The 22707-nt window shown below is 44.3% G+C and overlaps 1 protein-coding gene and 1 long non-coding RNA gene across 8 annotated transcripts in view; one reads left to right on the top strand and one right to left on the bottom strand.

Annotated features, from left to right (window-relative positions):
* Positions 1 to 22707, bottom strand: part of SLC14A2 (solute carrier family 14 member 2) — a 515726-nt gene that overhangs the window by 157693 nt on the left and 335326 nt on the right. The window lies entirely within an intron of this gene.
* The window catches only part of SLC14A2-AS1 (SLC14A2 antisense RNA 1), a 142177-nt gene continuing 138402 nt past the window's right edge, over positions 18933 to 22707 (top strand). Inside the window, exon 1 of one of the 3 annotated variants that reach the window (XR_007066350.1) lies at positions 18933 to 19022. This is a non-coding gene — a long non-coding RNA (SLC14A2 antisense RNA 1). Of the gene's footprint in view, positions 19023 to 21848; positions 22073 to 22170; positions 22223 to 22707 lie in introns of those variants that run through there. The other 2 variants (XR_007066352.1, XR_007066351.1) reach the window with 2 other exon arrangements.

Here is a 22707-nt window from a genome sequence, read left to right as displayed (position 1 = left end):
TGCCTTTTTGCTTACAAATACCCTTTGAGCTACTGAATTGATTTTGCTGAGATTTGTTACACTATGAAAGAGTCTGAAGATGCACCTGGAATTCCATCATGTCTCAGCAAACACCTAGAAACAAAATGGCCACCACCAACTACTTTAAAAACAGCACATCTCCTGCAAATTTGAATTTGTACAACTGTAAATGGGGAGTTGCTATTGCATTGTGACCCATTGTATGTTCATGGGTCCCAGTTCATATGGACACAAACAGAAAATACACTCCTGCTCTTAGGAAGCATCATCTAAAATGTGATGATGATAACTCCTGGGCAGATCTACCAAATGCTAATTGGAATGCATTGAAAATAGTTAAGTTTGTGAGCATTTTGAAATCATCATGGGTGATATAAGCATATTTTTATCACTAGTGTTTAATAAAAGCCATTTCTGTGTCTGGGCCAAGGGCTTTGGCACATGTTCAGAACAAGTCAAAGGAGTTAATAACCAGTAATAAAGGGAAATGGAGCCAAGGCATATCTAAGCTGCATATCTCTAGGGATCTTGGAAGTGGTAGGAGACATTCTTCAAGACATGCATGGTGGATGCACCAGCAGCACTACAGTCATTCACTTCAAGCCTAATCCACTCAACCTTTCCCAAAAGAGGAGTCAGGGAGACAGAAGTCCAAGGATGGGCCCATGAAGTCTTGTTTCATTTGCTTAGTTTTATGATTAACTGCAAGATACTGCATTTGATTCATTACCAATAGCAGCCACATTAAAGAAAATACCCCAGGTAGGTCAGAGAGAAAATTTTTATAGGATGGACAAGGAGCTGAAGGGAGGAGAGTTTTGTGTGTGTGTGTGTGTGTGTGTGTCTATATGCAAAGATTTCAAAAACATCTTGGGAATTACCCCCAAGAGGTATCCTTTTTATCTGGAAGGCATAAGATTGTTCTAGATTTAAATAGGGAGGTGGATATTAAAAGCTGCCCATAAGCTTTCTATATTATCCCTGTAGTTTCAAATTTGACTTCAACATTTCATCTTGATAATAAGGAGATGCTTTAAGTCTCCTGAATTAGTCCTACCAGAAATCTCACCAAAGTTGGGAGAAAACTTTCCTTCAACTCCAAATGCTAGGGTGAGGAGAAAATGGGGCAGGAAAAAGGGCAGGGGCTGGTGGGGCCATGGTGCCTCTATCTTATTTTTCATATGGAGCAGCTGAGGCCAGATAAGGCAGGTGAGGCATTTAAGGGCTTAGCAGTTAGGTCTACACCTGTGTGTTTTCGTATACGGTCCTGTGTTCTTTCCATGAAGATTGTCACTTACCCATTTCTCTAAATGAGCCCTGAACTAAGAAGAATGAAATGCCAAAGTTTCATGTGTATGTGTCATCTGTTGGCCTTCTGATGTGGATATATAGGGCTGGATAGGGAACTATGTTCAGGGTACCTTGCCTACCATAGGTGATCAGGCTGCTCTGGGCTTCCTTGAGGCCAGTGTCCAACCCTTCCTCTCACCTCAGGTCCAGCTGGGCTGGTCCCACACCCCATCAAGGGCACATCCCTCTCACTGCCTTTGTCTTTTCTTTCTTGCATTCTATTCACACCCTACTGGGTCTTCAAGTCCCAGCTGAGTTGAATGCAGTGCAATGGGATTGAACAAGCATTTATTGAGGACCTCATCAGTACAAAACATTGGGTAGCCAGACACTTGTTGAGGTGTTGAGGGCACTAAGTGAATAAAATACACTCTCCATGCAAGGTTCAAGAGGAAAACAGGTCTGTAAACAGTCAAGTCTCACAGTCTAAGGCTGAGAATAGTAAAGAATAAGTAATAGTAGTAATAAGGATCACTTATTGAGCACCCACTAAGGACCAGGCTCCATCCAGGTGCTTTATACTTGTTACTGCCAATCCTTACAATAGCCAGGAAAGACAGGTATTAGAGGCAGCCCAGAGTATTCAGGTGAGCTCCAGTTTTGTGTCCAGTCCTGAGGTTCAATTCAACTCCGTACTTTACAAATTATGTGTCTTTGGGGCAACTTTCTTAATTTTTCTGCATCTCTCATTCTCTTATCTGAAAATGATGACAAAATCTTCTTCAAAGGACAGATGTGAGGGTTAAACAGTAAAAGGCACACAAACAGCCTAGTGTAGGGTAAGTTCTCAACAAATGTGGCCAGAGATCTGGACGACCTGGGAAAAGTGAAATAGTGCCCTTAAAGGAAGCCCTCAGTGGAGATCCAGGCAGTTGCTGTGTCAGAGCAAAGGCAGGTCTCAGGTGGGGAGGGTTACAGGCAGGATGTATCATTTGCACTGGGTCTCCAAAGACAGGGGAGATTTCGTGGGGTTAAAGAATGATAACTAGTGGCTGGGTGTGGTGGCTCACACCTGTAATCCCAGCACCTTGGGAGGCCAAGGCAGGCTGATCACGAGGTCAGGAGATCAAGACCATCTTGGCCAACATGGTGTAAACCCCGTGTTTACTTAAAAAAAAAAAAAAAAAAAAAGCTGGGTGTGGTTGTATGTGCCTGGAATCCCAGCTACTCAGGAGGCTGAGGCAGGAGAATCGCTTGAGCTAGGGAGCCGGAGGTTGCAGTGAGCCGAGATTGCGCCACTGCACTCCAGCCTGGGTGACAGAGTGAGATTCCATCTCAAAACAAACAAACAAAGAAACAAAAAAAAAACCTGGTGATGGGAGTATAGATTGCTCCTGCCCTGGGCGACCTGTCTTTGTGATACTTATCCACATCTCAAGGTGTCTGGCTGGGTTATCCAGACTCAGCATAGGGGCTGGGGCTGGAGCTGGAGGAACTTTCTTGGCATTTCCCTCCTTTGTTTATTTAATCCTTTTCTCAAATTGAGTGTAAACTACAATTCTCACCAGCTGAGAAAGTGGAGAACCCCCACCCCACACCCCACCAGTGACCAGTGCAGACTACAGCTTGCCGTAGACCACTTATGGGGTCATGGTAAGACACTCTGCCCTCTCACCCATGACTTGGAGAGATCAGTTTTTTGGTTGCATGCGTGCCAAGCCATGGCATGCTCTGCGTTGGAACTTAGCAGAAATGGGAACCCCTGGCAACCCAGATGCTTAAACCAGGTGTCCTCAGCAAAATGGCCTCTGACTTCTATTGCCCAAGGCAACAGGGTATAGCTGGTTTGGTGATATGATTTTCTAATGATCCACATGTTAATAAGAATTGGGGAATCCAATGAGAGCCTGAGTAAAGTGAGCAAGCAAGCAAACAGAAATCTTCACGCAACAAACAACAACCACAATAACAAGCACACTGTACAAAATTCATGAATATTTGTGGTCTAAAATAAATGAATGAACATGAATGGAATTTCCTGAAGAAAGTGCTATTACCAAAACCATCATCTATTTTAGAGGTCGATGGAGAACTAGGCCTGTTTCCCGAGAACTGTCAGTGCAGAATTAAATGTGCTATGTGGCATTTCCATTCTGGGTAGTGAGTTATGTAGGATTGCTCCCGCCCTGAGCTCGGGGCCATCTCCAGCAGAATGAGAGGCAGGGACTGAGGGATGGTGCCGGGAAGCTGCCGCTCTGGGGATGGCAGGGCTCAAACTCTCCCAGGTCTGCAATGTCAAGGGTGCACCTTCCGGGGTTACCTTCTCGAGTTTATTACTGCAAGCTGGACATTTTCTCATGGGCTTATAGTGTTTATGCTTCTAGGGCTTAGCTGTTTTGGATAGCAAGGCTAAACATAAAAAAATGCCTCCTTTTCACAACACATCATACCCAGAACTTGACGCTGCCAACTTTCCTACAGCACTTTCTATTTCTTAAGGTGCTTTAACATGCATGCTCCCATTTGAAATCCACAGTAACCCCACGTGAAGGATGGTGATCTCCACTGATATGATGTGCAAACTGAAGGTCAGAAAGGCACATAACTGCCTTAGACTGCCTTAGATTGCCCAAGGGGCAAATAGTCCAGGCAGGATTAGAACATGAGTCTGCTGACTCCCAGTCCAGCACGCTTTCCTCCATGGCAAGCTGCCCTCAAATGAAACATAGCTCAAAGAGTAACGATGTCTAAGGCCAGTTACCCCATAGGCCTCTGGGAAAATACCTCTTACTTTCTGGATGAATATGCCCACTCACAATCAGCCACACCCCTTCCTGCCTCCCTCAGCTTGAGTCCCAGAATCACTTGGCTGTTTAGAACAAATGCATTTATGAGGGCCAGCTCCAGAGATTCTGATTCTGTGGGAACCTGCATTTTTGACACACTCACCAAGTGATTCTGATGCACATTAAATCTTGCGACTTGCTGGTTTATGGAATACAATGGATTTTAAAGGTCACTTGAGCCAGACATAATCTCATATGTAAATCTGTTTCCTCGAAAGGTAATTTTATTTAAAAAAGAAAAAAAATGAAAAAGGAAACAGGGTTACTTTCTGAAGGTCTTTTCCAAAGTTATACCTCATATCTAAATGTCCTCTCTCTTCTTTCTGGCTTCTCTCAATTTTCCAAGTCTTTTTTGTACCTTTCTTGTGTTACTCTCTCTGGTCCCTGAGCTGTATCCTGCTTATGGTACTATCCAGTTACTGAGTGTCTGTCTTGTGTGAGTCTCTATCCCTAACCCTGTGCACTCTTTCTGAGTTATGTATTCTGCATTCCCAGTAGTCCTTAGCACAATGCCAGAAACTGCAAGTATGCTTTGGCTGTAAGCTTGGAATGAGTCATTTAACCCTGTCGGACTCAGTGCCTAGCACAACTCTCCATCAGTAAGGATAATCAAGATGATGTAGAAGCAAAGCCCATCATCAAACTGGCATTGAGTCCCTATCAGGTTAAAGCCTCAACTAAGCTCTCAGAAATTCCCTTAAAAAATATGACTGTTGACAGGTCACTTGATGTAGAACTGAGGTGATGGGAGGTGCAGGTCATGTTTCCAGGCCATAGGTGGGCCTGTTGGATGGTCATAGACACTACTCTTGCCTGGGCCAGCTGTTAAGATTCTAGAGTATCTCAGAGGACCTGGTGGGAGGAGGAAGGCCCACCCATTCCCACTGCTGGGGAAGCACCCAATCACCAAGGCCCTGTCACCTGTGCAGACTTTCGGTCATAATAATAATCATGATCCTAACAGCTTGTATATGCCCTGGGCTTTGCCACTTAGTAAGCCTTTCCCTTATCTTCTCATGGTAACCCACAAATTAGATAGATTGTTCTCTCTGGTCTAGAGAGGAAGAAATAGATGTTCCCAGAGGTTGAGGTAACTGCCCTAGGTCACACAGCTAGATGTGTGAGAACCCACATTTTCTGATGCTGAAATTTCATGCTCTTTCCAGGACACCATGTTGCTTCTTGTCTCATGGGCCATACCTCCTTAGGATGGAAACGCCCAGAAAAACACTTCTCTATAAAGATCTAGCTCATTTGACATGCAAAGTTTATTCCATACATTTTAATCAAAAAGAACAGAAATAAATGCAACTTTAAATGCATTTAGTCCATCATTCAAAAGGTATTTATTTAGTGCTTAGTACCATGTAAAAGCCCAGTTGCGGGCACTGGGTCAGGGACAGGGGGACATAAGGTAAGGGTGTGTTTAAGGCATGCCCATGGACTCGCAGCCTGCACCACCCATTATCCTAAGTCTCCATCAGGTGATCTGCCAACAGTCACATGTAGCACACTCATATTCCTGAAAGGAATTTTTGAGATTTTAGTTGAGGCTTTATACCTGTTAGGGACTCAATATCTATTTGATGATGGGCTCTGCTTCTGCAAAAACCACATCTTGATTCTCTGCACTGAAGCAGGGAATAGTGCTAGGTACTGAGTCCAACATGGTTGAATGACTCATTCCAAGAATATGGCTAAAGCATCTTTTTAACTTTCTAAAGACATACCAAATATGGTTTCCACCCTCTACGTACTTCAACCAAATGGTACGTACAAGACATGCCCATTGGCCCAAAGAGATCTAAGCACACCACAGCTGTGATTTCTGGTGTGTGAAAGTGGCAGTAGCTGCTAGCTCCCATCCATGTATGCAAGGGCCTGCTAACACCCAGAGTAGCCTGATACCACTGCCAGGTAGTTGGTGGCACCAGCCTGTTAATTCCTAGTGTAGGAGTCCCATCTGATTCTGGTTTCCTTCAGAGACCTCCCCTTAGTGTAGAACCCAGAGCGATCTCACAAAGGGCTGCTAAACCACAGGCTCCAGGGGATGAGCAGATCCCGGAGTAACAGCACGGGTGGAATTTCTCTGAGCCTTTAGCTTAATTTCTTAAAATTATCAGACAGGAGATCTTTGGCTTAGCCCCTTTTTGATTGCCAAGTGCACAAGTTGGGGTTTATATGAGCTCTCTCCTCCTTCTTCGTGCTTACTCTGCCCCCTTTTTCCAATTAGTTCTCTGGCAGGGAATCTTCCTCAGCTAGCAGCTAACAGTAAATTATGTGTCTGGGATTCCCCCAGGGGTGAGTGAGTGAGGTGTATGTGTGTGTGCTCATGCTCACGCATGGGCATGGGGGTGCTGAAGTGGGAAAGGAGGATCCAAGTTCAAAACCAACACTGGAGACTCTGTGAATGGGCAGATAAAGAATAATTTCCCCTGAGGGTCATGCCTGGCCTTGGAGCATTCCATCTCCTACAAGAAGCAATCAAATGGAACTCTGCTTGATTCAGGGGTAGCTAATCTACCAGGGATATTTTTTTCCTTCCACACCCCACCTTGCCTTCTGTTGCCTTCATGGGTTTCTGTTCATTTATACATGGATTCAGTTGCTTGTTAGTGCGCTCTGCAGTGCTTCCCTAAGGATATAACTCTGCAGATGGACGACATTTTTTATTTTATTTTCTTAGTATTACTCTTGGCTTTTTGGAGGATTTTTTAAAATGATTATTCCTCCTGGTATTATTTTAGTTTCCAATTACAGTGTGGGTATACTCTAGCACACTGCTATTTTGTAAATGGATGTATATGCTTATTGTTAATTGATTCCCCAAACAGGCCACAAATGCTTGCATTTAGATTGTGTATTATATTACTTGCATGCCACCAGGCTGGCCCCTTGCCAGCTGGGGCTCTCAGCTTAACCAGAATCACAGTGGACACATCTCGTTTTCCCTGACACCTGTGCAAAACAGCTTGCTTGCCCTGGCCTTTGCTCTCCAGGGAGAAGGAGCTAAGGTGGCCCTCTGTTGAAGAGGTATCAGAAAACCTGAGGTCCTCCTGCTCTTTTTTTCTAAGAAAAGAATTAGAAAAAAAATTCAATTTTAGTCACCTAGATTATCCGTCTTTTTCTGAAAACACAGAGGAAGGGCCAACTCTGGTCTTTATCCCTGACTATCAGTGGCCAAGTCCAGACACCAGCAGTTTGAGCCACTCCTCTGTAAAGCTTTTCCAGCGACCCCAGGCAAGTTAACAAGTCTCTTCCTCTGGGTTCTCTCTGACATGACTCAGCTCCAACAGTTACAGGGCTGTTTTACTTACTAATGTCTATTTCACCTCTGGACTGTGAACTTGGTTTGGGACCTTTGCTTTCCACCAGTGTCTATGCTGTACTTGACAGTTGGTAAATAGGCTGAATGAATGAATGAATGAATGAATGAATGAAGACAAATGCTATCATAGGGGAGTTAGATGGAGTTTGACACTGGGTACATGTAAACAATGGATGTGTAATTTTTAAAGAGGATCATTAGTCATTCAAAAATCATAGTATTTAATGGTATGAAAGGTGAAGTGTGTCTCACTTGGGGAACAGGGACTCTGTTTGCATCAGCTGTGAAATGAGATGGACAATCTCAAAGATGTTTCAGAGGCCTTGGAGCAACCCGGAACTGTGTGATGTAGGCTTTGTTAGGTAACAGTTCTTTTACAGAATAGGATTGCAATTGGGAAATATATATCCTATTCCATTCCATAAAATGAAGTAGGAAACAGACTGAATCTAGATGTTGTGTTAATTATTAGTTATTATTATTATTATGGAGTTAAGATATCTAATTTAAGATGTCAAAGTTAAGATATGGCATTGATTTGTAAATTCCAGTTCAACAATCTTCTACAGCAGTTACAATAAGCACCTTATTCTTATATCCCTTGCCCCCTTGAGCAAGCTGTTTGTTTTCTAATTGTTCTCTATAACCAGTGAACTTCTATTTTTTGTACCCCTATGAACTTAAGCTAATATTTTCTCCCAGGGAAAGAGAGATTAAAGTTTTCAGTGGAATGCCCTGAAGTCCCAAAGGTAGAATTCCAGGCATCAGCCAAAAGGACAGAAAGTCCTGGAGGGAGGGTCAGGGTAGGGAGTTCCTCGAGTTCCAAGATTTACAACTTCCAGCCAAGCATTGGTGGCCGCCTTCACCGCCGGGTGAGACTGGACCTGGCCATGATAAAGTCTGTCAAAAGAAGCAAATTCGGCAAGCTGGATAGCAGCATGAATGTTGATGCAATTCCAGCCTGAGGTTTAATGCCACAATTAAAAGAATAACAAACCCTCCTGCTGAGAAGCCTTTTGGCCACTCTAGACCTTTTAATTCCCATCAGAAAACAGCATGTCACTTCCAAGGGTTACCCACAACAGGGCTTGCTTTGGAGACCTAGAGGCGTAATTATCTATTGGGAGGGGGGAGGCTGAGGTCAGCCTGGCTGGGGCGAGGGTCTGCCCTTTGTGCAGATATTGGAATGTCTCGGAATTCCTGCCAAACTCAATCAGCCAGGGCCGCGTCTCATGAGAAGTTACTTCGGGAGGTTATTAGTCTGCCCTGCTGCTGACTCAGGCAGCCTTCCCTAAGCTAACCAGAGGCAGATGAATCTGTGGGAAAAGCTCTGTCTTCATCATGAAGCCCACAAGATGGAGGTGGGCCCTGAGCCCTCTGTGTCCTTCGGTGAGTTGTGCACATCTCACCGAACTGTGCTCCAGGAGAGCAGGGACCCTGCCAGTCTCATTCACCTCTGTGTCCTTGTGCCCAGTTCACAGACAGCACACAGTGAGAGCCTGGAGAGAGAAGAAATAGCTCTCTCTGTCTGCACAGTGCTTTCTCTTCTCTTCCAGATACTGTTCACCTTTCAAGGCTCAAGTTCCACTCCCATGTGAAGCTTTCTCTGCTCACAGCAGCCCATTCTGATCTATTTCTTCACAGAGCAGTGTGTCTCCTGGTGCCCCCAACACTAACTTAACCCCCACTGGTTAATCTTGAAGCTGAGTGAGCTCCTTGGAGCCAATGCTTGTACTTCTCCCATCTTTACTTATAGCATCAGATACAATGTCTTTCACGTGGCAGAAATCAATGAACAGGAGAAACCTACAATGCTGGAGTGGGAAAGTGCTGCCCAGATCAACTAGGCCAGTGGGTTTCTAATTTTTTTCCTATTAAGCAGCAAAAAGAACCCTGTGTTCTTTTCAAATGAATGATTATGGAATCTCCTCCCCTGCATATAAAAGGTAAGAAGTTTGCTTCTTTGGGTTGAGGAGTGTACAGAGATTCAGAAAGCCCATCTCTTATCTTTCTCTCCCACTCTCGTCCCTGGGGCAGCACTTGAAAAATCACAGATCTGTCTAGGACCTTCCTTTTACAAATGAGAAAGCTGAAGGCCAGAGAAATAGAGTGACTTGGCCAGGTTCACACACTTATTTTAGCGGCAAATTTGGGAGGGGGACCAAGGTCTTCAAACTGTTACCTAAGTGACCTTTCCATTCTATGACATTAACTTTTGGCTGAAAGAAAGAGAAAGGAAGGAAAGGAAGAAGGGAGGGAGGAAAGAATGGAAGGGAGGAAGGAAGGGAAACAGTAGTGAGGGGGGAGAGAAAGGAAATAAAGGAAAAACTATATATTCAATACATCATGGAGAGTTTATATTTTCTTCTTTCTGACCTCAGCATCAACACAGCCTTATGCTTGGTATAGCAGAGCTCCTCTCCAGTTAAAAGTTCAAAGATTAAGTTTTGTATGGAGAATTTCAGAAAAGAAATTTAGGTACAAATATTAATGATTAACTCAAATAGTTATTAATACTAAAACTTCACACTATCAACTTGAGTTCTTACAGTTAGTAATTCCTATAGTTACCACAATGGCTTGGGTATTTGAAGCTATGTTCCATGGATAACTTCAAGGAGGGCATGCAGGCATGCAAAGCAGGCCCTGCTTCATTTACAAGAACAGCTTGTCTGAATCCTTCTTTCTCTGGTTCTGTTTCTTGTGATGCATGGTTTTCTGAAGTACAAACCCAATGATTGCACCAATTCGTTCCTTTGCCCAGGCCTGCTCTCCCGGGCCCAATGTGTCTACATCCACAGGGATGAGTTGCACAGGTTGCCCGAGTGTTGGCTGGGCTATGCGTGCTTTTTTTCTTCCCTTCCTGACTGCAGAGTGGGACCTCCTCTTCTTTTCTAGATCCTGCTCACCTTTCAAGGCTCAAGTTTCATCCCCATGTGAAGCTTTCTATGCTCACAGCAGCCCACGTGCTGATCTCTTCTTTCTCAGAGCATTGTGTCTCCTGGTGCCCCCAATCCGAACTTAACCCCCACTGGTTCTGTTGATTCCTTTGTGCTCCATTTCGCAGTCTACTTAATGAGAAAATGGAAGCTCAGAAAGATTAAAAGACCTGCCCAAGGCCAACCCAGCTAGTTAGTATTAATCAAGCTTAAAACCCATGTTTTTGATGCCAAATTGACACTGTCTACACTCTCTATAATCATTGCTCCTTAAAATTCATTTTAGCTCAGTGAGGCTACAGTCAATATGACAAAGCAGTTACTTTAAAACCATAATATCCAGATTTCATAGTTGTATTACAAACACTTGAAGTCTTCCATTTTTAATCATTCATTTGAACAAATATTTATCCACAAACTACTTAGTGTCAGACACTGTTGTCATGCCAGGTACATACTGCAGGCCTCTTTAACATGTGTGTGAGTGGTATGCTAAGTCTGCTCAGTCAGCATGTTCTCCTCCACCTATTCTAGGAAAAGTCAGTGCTGTCAGGATGCTTCATGGGGTTCTTATTTTCTTATTATGTTTCAAGAGAATCATTGAACTTGGTACTTGCATTTCTATTTGACAAAATGTGGAACAGGGGAAAGAATATAGCCATGATAGGTAGAAATAAATCAATTTATTAATATTTCAATTAACATTTCTATGGATATTAATGGATATATTAATAGCCACCCAGTGCAGTATAAGCAAAAGTGAGTTTGTGGTAGTTACTACATGGGTGTTTCCCCATCTACGTTTCGAGGGTATAAGTTGGGCTTTACTCATCTTTGTATCCTTCATAGCATGAAAGCTTGCACATCATAGATGCTCAACAAAGTTTGCTGATTGCTAGGTATGCCTCTTAATATTACCCTATGCTTACCAAGGAATATAGGTCAGGTCTACGTTAGGATGCTCACCTAATGTAGGCATCCACAGCATTTTCTAATAGATCCACAGAGTTTTCTAATACATCAAGTTCATCTACAAGGCCAGTTTTAAGTGATTTTCTAGCTCTGATATGGTTTGGCTCTATGTCCCCACCCAAATCTCATACTGAATTATAATTCCCAATGTTGGAGTTGGGGCCTTGTGGGAGGTGATTAGATCATGGGGGTGGTTTCTAATAGTTTAGCACCTTTCCTGTAGTGTTGTCTCATGGTGGAGTTTTCACAAGATCTGGTTGTTTGAAAGTGTGTAGCATCTTCCCCTTTGCATGCTATCTCTCTCCCGTCAGTCATGTGAAGATGTGCCTGCTTCTCCTTCACTTTCCACTATGATTGTAAGTTTCCTGAGGCCTCCCCAGAAGCAGAAGCCTGTACGGCCTGCAGAACCATGAGCTGATTAAACCTCTTTTCCTTGTAAATTACCCAGTCTCAGGCATGTCTTTATAGCAGTGTAAGAATGGCCTAATACAACTTCCATGATATCATCCTTGGAAAAAATGTTTTTTTCCATCTGCTGGCTGATTCTATTAGTTTGATTAGGACCAACTTTTTAGTTCCAGAGATGAAACTAGCAACTGTAAGTTAGAAAGGGTAGGATCTCTACCTGAAAATTAACATGAATGGCAGAATTTTTCACTATTCCAGGCAGAGCACTCTGTGTGTTGGGTGGAGAAGGAGGTGGAGATGTTTCCTTAGTCTGTGGGGTCCCTGTGGAAACTGGGTCCATTTTTGGCTGATCAAGAGAGAAACTTCCTCCACTATGGGTCTGAGTCGGTACAGTAAGAATGAAACAGAGTATCTCATATCCTCAGGTCACCCCAGAGATATGTCTTTGTGTCCCAACTATTTGTGGGACCACAGCCCTAACTCTTATTGAGAATGCTGGGACATCTGGAGCCAGGCAATAGAGGCACAGTTCATCCACAAATTCTTTATGTATATATGGATAAAATCTAAACACTCTTACCCTTCAACCTTTACATTTGGGGCTACATTCGAACTTCTATGTATCATAGTCAACTTCTGATTACAGTCCTATTGGCCTCAACTAATTTAGAAGGTGGTGTTGTGGCCAAAGAAATGAAGTGCCATTACACAATGGAGTGTGTAGTATCATTCCAATGTAAGTAGCATTAAAAAATATGCTTTGTTCTTGGTATACATTCCCTCTAACTTCTCATCAATACAACGATGCTGGAAATTTCTTTATCACATATTGGGCGATAAGGCTTAAAATGAATGTTTCTCTGAGAAAGGGAACATCATGATTTATACTCACATAAGGTAAATGACAGGTTTGAAAGATTTTGTACAGCAGATTTTGATCCAGAGGCACACAGAAACAGTTAGAAGTAAAATCTGGGGAGAGGGTGGTATATAAGATGAAGATATGCTCCAGAAGAAGTCTGAGTAGAGAACAAGTGTTTGCTAAAAGCTGGCCCTGATGACCTTCAAGGTAACCCCATGATATGAACTCTCAGGATACTGCTTCACTGAGGCTGTGGTGCAGCCACAGAATAGGGTAGCCATTGTTGGTGGTGACATAGGCTAATAGTAAGTTTCTGGGGCCCATCTATTCAGAAGCTTGGTCAACAGAGACTCCCAAAGAATCACTTGCTTGATCACACCCTGAGTAGACAGAACCTTGGATTTACCTGCAAGTTACTGACAGAAAGTACTTGAAAACATTCTGAACTAGCCACGGTACTGGTTGCTGAGAAATGATGTCTGGGAATTCCGCTCTGCCTTCCCACCCTTCCAGCTCCCCCCAATCCAGTAATGGCCTTGTGATCTCATCCTCTAAGACAGATTTTGCAGGCAGAATGAGTCTGATGTATGTAAATCTTGTGCCCTCACCAGACTCTCCCGGGGAGGCTGCCGTGAAGAAAATCTATTGCCCTAATCAATTACCAAACTTCCAAATGAAATAGATTGTTCTCTCTTGCTGGAAGACCATCAAGCTGTCATTTTTCTTGGTAATGAGCAGCAGTGCAGGAGGGAAATTGCACTTTCTCTGTGGCACTGGATGAAGGGGTTCCAGTAAGCAAGGGCTGACCAGGAAAGCAGGGAGTTACCTGCCAAAATGATGGAAAGGCATCTGGAAGCCTCTCTCTCTTTTAAACTGTACTCCAACGAATTTCTCTTGACTCTTCAGTATGCATCAGGCAATTTTCTGGGTATGGCAGTGTAAAACTGAGAAAGGACTCTTCTCCCTGGCCTAGGTATCGCCCATCTGACTTTGATTTTTTTTTCTCCACTCCTTCCATGCTAGTCTGGTTCACTCCTAATTCCTGAGCTATATCTGAAGAGGACAAGAACTCATTTGGGACCCTCACCTCCACCATCTGATGGGGACTGGAATTCATCTGTTGCCCAGGGATGCTCCATGGATATTGGTATATAGTTCCCAAGCATTTCTCTTTCTGCTGAAATGTGCTCCTGTACATGCATCTGGGCTCCTGCCTTGGTTTACCCATATAGCATCTTTATTCCAATTTGGGCTTGGAATAGCACCTCAAACTTTAGTCTGTTTGCCTGGGCTCTGCCTAGGTTCCTTCCCTGAGAGCTGAGAGCCCATTTTTCTACCTTCCTCTTTCTTCAGGGTCAATGCCTTGATGCCACAGTCTACCTGTCTTCAAACACTGCTCCTCCTCTGAATATTTTCTTGCCATAGTGCTTTATCTCCTAAAGTGAACTCCCTGGTGTGCAGATGGAGGCTTGAACCCTATGTGGTATCACCAAGCACCTTGGGATCTGTACTCTTCATCCAAAGTACTTTTTATAAGGACCCTTCCAGGGAGCAGTACTTGACACAAATGGAAGAACTCCTATGGGTAGAAATTGGGACACTTGGGTTAGTTTCCTCTTCCCTTTGTATGTAGTTTCAACTTCCTTCTTTCTCAAACACATACACCTGAGACCCCAGCTCATCCTGCAAGCTTTTCCTGGTTATGGCACTTACTCACCTTTCAAGGTGCTCACTTTCCAAATGGAGAGACAGCTAGACATTTAACAGCTAAATATCAACCACTGTGATAAGGTAATCTGTAAGGTGTGTACTAAGGGTGGTGGGAGTGAGCCCAGGGAAGGGATATAATAAAGAACAGATTGCAAGGAGACCTTAAGGGAGGAGTAAGAGTCGACTTAGGGGACAAGGGTCTTCTAGTGGATCCCAAAAGGATCCACTCCTGAGTGATGTCAGAGAGTCTGAAAAATTAATGTTTAAGCTACTATATAAATTCTAGAATTTCAGAGATCCACTGCCCCAAAATATAGAGGTGTATCAATATTCTCCCCATAGGAGCTATAACCTAGTTGGGGAGGAAATTTTCTCACAGAGTAAATAGTGAAATAATAATGTAAGGCTATACATAATAAAGTGCTACTTTAAATAGAAACAAGTGCCAAGGATGTGTCAAGTGCAAAGATGTCTGGGCCAGATAATGCCCCTTGCAGAAGGCTGGGAAAAAAGAAAAAAAAACAACAATAAAAGGGGAGTTAACACAGGAGCTAGGAATGGGGACCTTTCTGCTGTCTGCAAATCATATGATGTGGATGGCTGACCTCTTGGCCTCTGCCCTGCAGAGGACTCTCTTGGATTTTCAGGAGAGGAGGGGGAAAAAGAAGTCTTATTAAAAATAACAGCATTTGGTGTGCATGTGTGTGAGTGCTGTGTACAGACACATTTAACAGTGCAGCCGCTCTGAGCATTGGCTGGTGGGGAAGAGTCCTGAATGCAAAGTGAGGTGAGTGGCCTTTGCAAATGCCAGCTGGAAATGCTGCTCTGCTGTGTAAGCAGGACAAGAACAAGCTAGGGAACTGTCACCTCTCCAAACAAGTTCTCTCAATGACGGGATCAGCTGGCTGTTCTGAGAGGGGCTTTGGGCATCTCTATGCCTCTCTCGGTGGGTAGAAACCCAAGTATGGGGAGCATGGCTGAATGCCTTTTGATTCTGCCTCTGGGTGGGGCATTGGCTTAGATCACTTTCGGGAGGCAGGACCCTGATCAGCAGGCAAAGGGGAAGGCAATATTGTGACATTCCATGAAAGATTGGGCCAGGCTGTCCTCCTGTGGGCACCACTCCACTGGTGGCAGGGTTGGACTGGGGGTACTCCCTGCCTCCACAGTAGGAGCCGCATAGAGGGGCCTGGGAGTATAGGAGAGCCTGGTCTTTTGTTCTATATGCCTTCTCATTTTCCATCAAACCTACGCTTAGTATGGCTTGGGGGCACAGATAAATCACTATAAGTTGCATGATCTTAAGGAGTTTACTTTATCTCAGACAGGCTCATTTTTTTCTCCCCTATCACATGGGAATTGTAATGACCACTGTAAAACACAAATCTATTGTCACATTTAAGTGTGAGAATAATTATAAAAAACATTTAGCACCTGTAAGAAGCCATCCAAAATGCTCACTTCCATGCCCCTAATTTTACAGATAAGAACTCGGAGGCTCAAAGAGGTTAAGTGTCTCACTTGAAGTTGTCCATCAAAGAAGAAACTGAGCCTGGAACCTTGGAAGGACAGTGAGGAGGTGAGGGAGAAATGTTTGGGGCTTGGCTCTGCCCCTAACAGGGGGTAGGATTATGGGCAACCCCTCCACTCAGATTTCAGGTTCCCCTTCTGTTAGGCAGAGGATGGATGGGATCCTCTCCAAGGTCTCTCAGGTTCTAACATGGAACCAGCAATGTTCCTTTCTCTATGCAGCAGAGGTCCAGTCCGTGACCTACAGAACTCTGCATTCCATAGAGAAGTCACAGTGTGGGGCCCTGGGTCAGACATCTCTACAAACAAAGTTCATCGCAATGGAACTTCTCAAGGGCTTTGGCCCCTGGAACCTCCCTCAAGAACCATCCAAGGGAGGCAGGGATGGGGGCCCACAGGGTGCAGAGTGGCGACCACTTGAGTGGCAGATTGCCGACACCATGTGACCTGGCTTCCCAGTCTCAACTTTTCCATTCTGCCCAGTTTATTTTTCTTTCCCTGTCCCCTCCATGACCTGAAATGCTGTCACAACCATATCTGGGCTTTTCTGTAAATGTCTTTTTTTTCTTTTAAACCTTGATTGCTTTCATGCTAATAAACTAGAACTGAGGCTTACTGAGAAAAGAGAAGTAGGTTTCCCTGAAAAACATTTATGTGTATGTAACAGAAACAGATAGAGACTGAGAAAGAAAGACAGAGGTAGCGAGAGAGAAAACCACAGGAAGAAAACTTATGGAGAATTTGAAAGAGAGACAAGCAGATATTGATGGCCAGAAAGACAGAGAGAGAGATATATATATATAGGGAGGAGATGACTGAGGTAAATTTAGGCAGAGACAGGGAGATTTGGTCCATCTCCTCTTGTGTGCCTATCTACAAAGAGGGATGTGATGGAAACAGTTGAATCCACAGATGAGTTGGGTAAGACTGGGCAAGGTATCCCATGAAGGGACACATAGAGTCTTCATTTTCCTTCTACTTCTTGGACTCTTCCAAAGGCTTGCAATACCACTGGCTATACAGGAGGCTCCAGGATAGAGTCATGACCATCTGAAGTCCCTGAGTTTGGGGCCATGGGTCCTCTATCCTAGCATTTTGCCTCAGATGGATCTGAAGGTTTGGGGGATGCTGGCATTGTTATCCATGAAATCAACTCAAAGGTCATCTGTCACCCCCCAATATCTTGATAATTTGTAATTCTGTTTACATGTTTACATATTTTTGTCTCATTTGCAAGACCAGTTTGTTAATTCCCTGGAGTAGGCATTTTTGTGTGTGCATGATGCCTTGAACCTAGTAGCCCTTTGATAAAGTCCAGTTGAGGGACTGGGCCTGTGTCAGACAGCTTCCAGTGGCCCATCAGAATGGAGGATTCCAGAAGATTGGGTGACCCATCTAAAGGACACTGGCCATTCTGCAGAAACATCTTGTAGAAAGTTGAGCACCCATTAGTAGGCTGGCAAGCAAAGAAAAGATGAAGGCTGTATTAGTCTGTTTTCACACTGACGATAAAGACATACCTGAGACTGGGCAATTTACATAACAAAGAGGTTTAATGGAGTTACAGTTCCACATGGCTAAGGAAGCCTCACGATCATGGCAGAAGGTGAAAGGCACATGTCACATGGCGGTAGACAAGAGAAGAGAGCTTGTGTAGGGAAACTCCCCTTTTTAAAATCATCAGATCTCATGAGACTTATTCACTATCACAAGAACAGCATGGGAAAGACCTGCTCTCATGATTTAATGATCTCCCACTGGGTTCCGTCCCACAACACATGGGAATTCAAGATGAGATTTGGATGGGGATACAATCAAACCGTATCAAAGGCCCTGCCCTCTTCCAAATACTAATAGAGGAAGAGAAGAGTCACAGCAAGAACCCAAGTGAAGACTAGCCTGTAAACAAGTCAACACAGGAAGACTCAGGAGGTCAGCCCCAGCTAGAACATGAGATCTACGCAGAACAATTTTTCAGAGTTCTGAGATGCCTCTGTTGAGCATGTTGGATGATGATGTTTCTAAGTATTCCAGTCTTTCTTACCTTTGAGATAAGCAGAGTACATGGAATCTATTTTAAGCTTGCATTATAGGATTGGAGTGGTACCTGGCAGGCTCTTGTTTGTTCAGGGATATTTGCCCCATTGCCAGATGGCCCCAGATTGCCATGTTTTTCTAGTTGGTTCTTCTTACCTTTTCTCACAGTTCCTATTTATTCCTGTTGTATGTTTCTGCTTCCTTATTTTACTTTGCAGTAAGCAAAGAGAGTCTGATGGGACTCACATGAGGGAGAGTTACAGGGACACTCTCACCATTCTTGTCAACTGGCCAATTTTATTCATTTCTCAAGTAGCTTAAAAGTCCCTTCTTCCAGGAAGATGTCCGCTCCCCAAACGGCAGCAGAAGCTCCTCTGCATTTTTCTGCCTAAGATACCTACCTCCCTGAACACAGTTACATGCTCAATAGGCTGCCTCCACCATCAGATTGTATGCCCACTGAGGACAGAGTCTGTGTCCCCACAGATTCTTTAGTGCCCAGGACTGCAGGGTGACAGTGAGTGTTCAATCCATATTTATTTAATGTGGATGTGTGTGACCTGAGGGTCAGCCTGGTCTCTCCCATGGAGGAAAGCACTTCCCTCAATGCTAGACCCTGGTTATGGGGCAGAGCTTACCAAAGACTGATTTCTGGGTGAAGCATGACATGGTGCTCCTGTGGTCCTCTCTGCTCCAGCCTGCCTTGTTTCCTCCTTGTCACTCTCTCATCTGACCTCTGCGCATTGACTTCTCTGCCGGTCATCAATGCTCTCCCAACTCCTCCTCTTTGGCAACCTGCCCTTGAGTTCAGAGACCACCTCCCCTAGGACCTTCCCTGACTCTACTTGAACCCTCCCCTCCTAGGGTCTGTAGTGCTCATTTCAGTGTGCCTCTCACAGTGGGGACCCGGGGTTATGATGTCATCACCTTGTGTAGTTATAATCTCCCTTTCTTACACAAAAAAGACAACACTGGAGCTGTAGGGATTCGTAGACCTTGTCCTGTCCATCTCCTTCAATGTACAGGAAAGGACAGTGAAGACAGGGAGCTCAAGTGACCTCCTCCAGGGTATATAGCTGGTGAGTGGTGATATCCCCTTGAGGAGGGGGTAAGTCAGGTTCCCCTCAGGGGAGGAAAGTCAGGTCCTCTCACTTTACGTCTGGGCAGATTCCAGTTCCCCTTCATTCCTAGGATTTTGTACACCATGGTACCCTAGCCCAGGGCTTGAATATCAGTTTCTTAGGACTGCTGTGACAAATTACCAATAAACTCGGTACTTCAGCATAAGAGAAATTCATTCTTTCACAGTTCTGAAGCTAGAAATCCACAACTAAGGTGTTGGCAGGGCCATGCTCCCTGTGGAGGCACTAGAGAAAAAATTTTCTGGCCACTTCTGACTTCTGGTGGCTCCTGGCATTCCTTGGCTTGTGGTGGCATCACTCCAATTTCTGCCTGTCTTCACATGCCCTTTGTTTCTCTCTCTCATGTCTTTTTCTGTCTCTTCCATTATTGGATTTTTGGGTCCGCCCTATCTAGGATTATATCATTTGGAGAGCCTTAACTTGTCTGCAAAAAACTCTTATTCCAAATAAATTCACATTCCAAGGTTCTGTGTAGAACTATTTTTTTGATGGGGCACGATTCAACCCACTACAGCTCGGAATTCAGCAAACACCCAGTTGCCACTGGATTACTGACAGATAGTGGCTCTGCTGGTGTGTGATCAGGCTAACTGGACAACTAGAAGAAGGCTCTGTGGAGGTGGTTGGGTTTGATGGGGAGAAGAAGGTTGGGTTTTCTAAGTGAGGATAAAGTGAAGGGCAGGTCTCAAAGGCTAGTGGGAGCAGGACTCCTGAGAGACTTGAGGACGGGGCCTCAGTTAGTGTGTGAGTCAGAGCTGGGAGGGGTACAGGACTGGACCTGACACCTTCAAGGTCCCCCTGCAGCCTCAAAGCTGGCTGCAGCCTTGAAGCTGGAAGCAGAATCTCCTGCTGGGAGGCTAGCAGACACTTTGCAGTAAGCAGGAAGCGGTGAGCCTCCCTCCCTCAGAACATCTTTTTCAAGAAGGTGCTTCTCTGAAGTTTTCAGCTTGGCCCTTCCTCCCCACCCTAGTTCTGCGGAGAGAAATCCACATCAGAATGGACAGGGTGAAGGCAAGTGGCCCCGTCACACATCCCAGTCAGCTACTTGAGAAGAAGATGAGAGAGGAGGCAAGGCTAGGCTTTGTGAAACGTGTAGGCGGGTCTGTACACAAACATCGGCTCATACAAATAAACCAAACCTGGCCAAAAATAACAGAAAAGGCAACAGATGCTTCCAATTAAAATGTCAGCGTCTCCTGAGAAGCTGAGTTCTCACGTGGTGTGGGTGCTCGGGGGGCCGAGGACTACTGGAAGGGACCACATATGGAAATCTGTTTGCATTATACCATGTCCCAGATGCCACGTAAGACACTGGCCTGACCTTGCAATTAGCACATTGGCTGTTTCTGGGGTGAGGTATGTGGGGATGCAGGGAAAACTCAGAAAGTTGTGAAAGAGTGATTGTTCCTGCTGGGTCCCATAGGAAGCAAGAAACCCAGGAGCATTCTCAGGGAATATTACCCTGTGGGCTCCTCACCCACTCCGTCTTCCCTCTTTTTTGGTTCCATTTTCCCATATTCTTCAACGTCGTTATGAAAGGAAAATGAATTTACATGGATAGCAGGCAGTCTTGGTGGAAAAAGACTGTCAAAGGCTGTCACAAGGATGTGGCAGGGGGTAGGAGGACAGAGGGACAATCCCTGCCCCATCTCCCTGTCTGCCCTTGGTGGTGGTGGTGGTGAGGCATGTAAGACACTGGATGCACACTGGACTATCCAAACAGCCTCTCCCTAGCCTGCTGTACTTCTAATCCCTCATAAAATTGTTTCTTTCCGATTTGCTTTGCTGTTTACTCATCATAGGTCCTCATTTCCCTTTGATCCTAGAGTCACTTTACTTTTATTTTTCTTTTCCTAACTCTCTTTCTTTCTAGCCCCATTGGGTAACTGCTAAGGAAACCAACAAAGGCAGCAATGAAACAGCAGATTCTTTCCCAAATCTCACCATCTCATCAAATCAAGAGGGAGTGTGTATTTGAAAGGGTGCCTTATTCTGATAAATGAATCTCCTTCTTCTCCTAATTATTTTTATTATCATCGCTATTATAATAAAATCCACATTTTATAGCTAAAGATCCAACTAATGTCCACAGAAAGGAAGAACAATGGGGAAATTAATGAACTGAATCCTCATTTGTGTTTCTGCAGGGGAAGATGATAATTTGTTGGTTTTAATAAGTTCCTGGATTGAGTTGCTTCCACAGGCTAGTGCTGCCAGGCCCAGGTATCCACTGGGTAATGCAAGATGTGTAACTCAAATATTTTTATGTGGATTCAAACACATTTTCATTTCTTAATGGTCACTATTACTGACCAGATAAGAGAAAGACTTATCCACATAAGGCAAACAAATGATTAGTTTTGACAACAGAAGCTTAAACAGGATATTAACTAGCAGCCATAGAGATGGGAAGGTTCTGGATGGGAACAGTTATGCAGACAAACCCACAGTATGGCTACTATGTACCAGGGTCCCATCCCTTACCATATGGCTGTGGTCTGGCAAATGGTTCACTGGCAATTCATTACCATATCGTTTGGAACTCAGGAGCAAACCGTTTATGATTAGCAAATTCATTATGCTATCCTTGGTACCTTAAGGGGACACTGTGGGCTTTCCTCCCCTGTTGTTATTTTAAGGACATATGACAGGGAAGGAAGAGCCCTCCCTTTTCCAGCTGCCTCAAAGTATTGTTTGCTGGAAAGTTTGCCGGAATCTAGATAGAATCTTTCAAAAGAAAATAAACAAGCAAAAAATCCCTGCAGTCATGAACTGTAGCCACAGCTGGAACTATTGGAACATTCCAGGAGATGAAAACAAAGATTCCCTCCTCCTTCCCTTCCATCTTACTGAGGACCCATCAGTCACCCTTGTGAGTGCACTTTAGCCATAGCAAGAGCAAGATCAGAGAGAAATAAGGACTTATGACCATTAGACCAGGAGACAGGAAGCGATGGTTCTGGAAGGGGCTCTGTTACTAACTTTGGGTAAGTCAGCTGAATCTTTGATCCTGAGGTTCAGAATCTGCAAAATAGATAAACTCCTCTCTGTTTTACCTACTTCCAGTGGTATCTTTGATAATTCAGGGATAATTACTCTGAATCTACCAGGCTGATTAAGCCACAGCAGATCAGCAGGTGAGGTATTGGAGAGATTTATTTTTAAGCCATTAGCAAAGGTAGGCAAGAAGAGAGGGGCACCAGTCTCTCTACTATCAATAGGGTCTGCCCACCTCTGTAATTTAGCATTTTAACTAGAGTTGCCAAGAAAGAGTACGTGGAGCTTTGCATAAGGTGAAAAAGTGGAGATTGTGTCTGAGAACTGACTAATAGGAATGTGTTTTGCAGAGACTAAAGCTTGATGGAGTAGTCAAAATTCCTGAAGAGGCAGAAAAGCATTAAGACAGGAGGGTTACAATGGCAAACAGAAAAGGGAAGGAGGAAAAATAAGAACCAGACACTGAGTTAGTCACGTTGGTGTGATTTGTTAAGCATTGGCTAGGGAGGGATGTGGCAGTGCTGAAGGGAAACTTGCTCAGTAAGCACAGAGCATGGGATGACCCCATTTTGGTTAATGTACATAACGTGGAGAGACCCCTTGTAGAGCTTGTTCCCTGAAGCCC

This window comes from Homo sapiens, chromosome 18 (assembly GCF_000001405.40).
Source record: "Homo sapiens chromosome 18, GRCh38.p14 Primary Assembly".
Lineage (NCBI taxonomy): Eukaryota > Metazoa > Chordata > Mammalia > Primates > Hominidae > Homo > Homo sapiens.
Note: the sequence above shows the minus strand (reverse complement) of the source record. Positions and strands in the feature narration are given on the sequence as shown.